The following is a 2,613-nucleotide window of genomic DNA, read 5'->3' as shown; positions in this document are numbered from 1 at the left end:
AATCCAGTCTATCATTGTTGGACATTTGGCTTGGTTCCAAGTCTTTGCTCTTGTGAATAGTGCCACAATAAACATACATGTGCATGTGTCTTTATAGCAGCATGGTTTATAATCCTTTGGGTATATACCCAGTAATGGGATGGGGATGGCTGGGTCAAATGGTATTTCTAGTTCTAGGTCCCTGAGGAATCGCCACACTGACTTCCACAATGGTTGAACTAGTTTACAGTCCAACCAACTGTGTAAAAGTGTTCCTATTTCTCCACATCCTCTCCAGCACCTGTTGTTTCCTGACTTTTTAATGATCGCCATTCTAGCTGGTGTGTGATGGTATCTCATTGTGGTTTTGACATGCATTTCTCTGATGGCCAGTGGTGATGAGCATTTTTTCATGTGTCTTTCAGCTGCATAAATGTCTTCGTTTGAGAAGTGTCTGTTCATATCCTTCGCCCACTTGTTGATGGGGTTGTTTGTTTTTTTCTTGTAAATTTGTTTGAGTTCATTGTAGATTCTGGATATTAGCCCTTTGTCAGATGAGTAGATTGCAAAAATTTTCTCCCATTCTGTATGTTGCCTGCTCACTCTGATGGTAGTTTCTTTTGCTGTGCAGAAGCTCTTTAGTTTAATTAGATCCCATTTGTCAATTTTGGCTTTTGTTGCCATTGCTTTTGGTGTTTTAGACATGAAGTCCTTGCCTATGCCTATGTCCTCAAATCCATGTGGTTTTCTGTTTCTATGTCATACAAACTGAGATGACTCTGGAATGAAATTATGTAGTGTTTAAAAATAATATTATGTCGTGTCCAGAAAATGAAGACAGCAAAAATTACAGTTATCTATCCATGAACTAAAAAGGTGCTCAATTAGAACAAAATGGCAATTGCGGCTTCCAGAACTAGGGTACTTCTTAAATACAAGGGCTGTATTAATGATTTTGACAAGCAATCTAATAACATCATTGGAGTTAGGAAAATCAACATAAATCTCATTACAAAGGGCTAAAAATATTTTGGATGCACATTACTTGATGGAGGATATTTTCAAGCAGACTGGTGGTGAGCCCTTAGGAAACAGAATAGCAAAAGGGTAGATAGAAGATCCACAAGAAAAGTGAAGAAACTACAGAAAAGCAGATAAAGGATTAGATACATTTCAATAAGGCCAAAATGTCAAGATGGTGGATAATGAGATAAAACTGTATAAGGAAAGATTAAGATGCTTTAAATAAAACTGCATTTACCTGTGTAGCTTTAGGATTTCAGTAAACAATTAACAGACCAACAAATAGCACTCACTTTTATCTTCTAGCTCTCCTAGCTTTCTAGACATGGATAAGTAGATTTTCTGGAACCAAACTTCATATTATCTATTTACAAGACTCTAACTTAATATTAGCAGATTGCAGACTCTATAATTAGCATTCATAAACCATTTTTATAACCAGTTCTGAATTGGTTTGTAGGAATTGGTATCTATGACACTGTCTATACCTTTCCGGTGCTATAAATTTTTGTCTAGGACATAATTATCTGACTCCCCAAAATTCTGTCTCATAATTACATGTACATGTAAAGTTTTTGTTGCATAATGGACTGTGTAAGTGAGCAATGCCATATTTGCAGTGGACATTTATTCACAAGAAATAGTGACAACTTAAGTGAAAAATTATTGTATAAAACTAGAAAATTGAATAAAGCACCTAGAAAATGCATAAAACTAGGTGGTAATCAGAATGTCAGGACAGATGAAGAAAAAAGCAAAAGCATCAACTCAGAAGCCCAAAAATGGTGGTGGTGGTGGTGGTGGTTGTTTTGCATAAATTGTCTGTGTTTAAAGTTTTCAGCATCATATGTACAAGAAGAATGAATGCAGATATTTTCAATTTTCATCTGCAATATCCCACTTTAAAAAAAAAATTGAATCAGCCAGAGAGTTAAACTTTTCTATGTGAAACTCCACAAAGAAGTTGAACAATTACTGAAAGTAAAAACAGTGAGGTGGCATAATTATAAAAACTTAGAGAAGGGGCATGGCAAGTACAAATTGATTATAGACTTTAGTCTTGTTTGTTGTGACATTTCATGAACAAAGCTTTAGAAATGAATGTCAGGGAAATGTTCACATTCTATCCTAGTCCTGTGGTCCTATTTTTATTAGTTTCATTTGGGATTTTCATATATTCTTAAAATTATTTCACAGCTCATTGACAATTTTAAGACACTTGTCTAGGAACTCAGCATGCTTAGAATGAATGTAAAGTAATGAAAGAATAATGCACAGAATGGAAATTTTGTTCACTAAGATCTCACCCTCACAACTGCCACAGCCTTACAGAACAGCCTGGGGGTAGTCACAACACAAATGTCTCTGTTTCCTCACTAGGGGAATGAAGATAATCATACGTATCTATCTGGCAGAAGTGTTAGGAGAATTAATTAATGTTTAGAAAGGGCTTTAAAACCCTGGATGAAAGTTACTAGGTAAGTACAAAGTGTTATTATGATCATTTTAATAGTTATGATTACTGAGATATTAAATGTATGATATGTATTGCCCTGCAAATTCTAGTCTGGGTGGGCACCGCAGTTTACAAATAAATGAGTTAAAATAAAA

Source organism: Homo sapiens, chromosome 13, assembly GCF_000001405.40.
Source record: "Homo sapiens chromosome 13, GRCh38.p14 Primary Assembly".
Taxonomy (NCBI): domain Eukaryota; kingdom Metazoa; phylum Chordata; class Mammalia; order Primates; family Hominidae; genus Homo; species Homo sapiens.
This window is presented reverse-complemented; position numbering follows the sequence as displayed.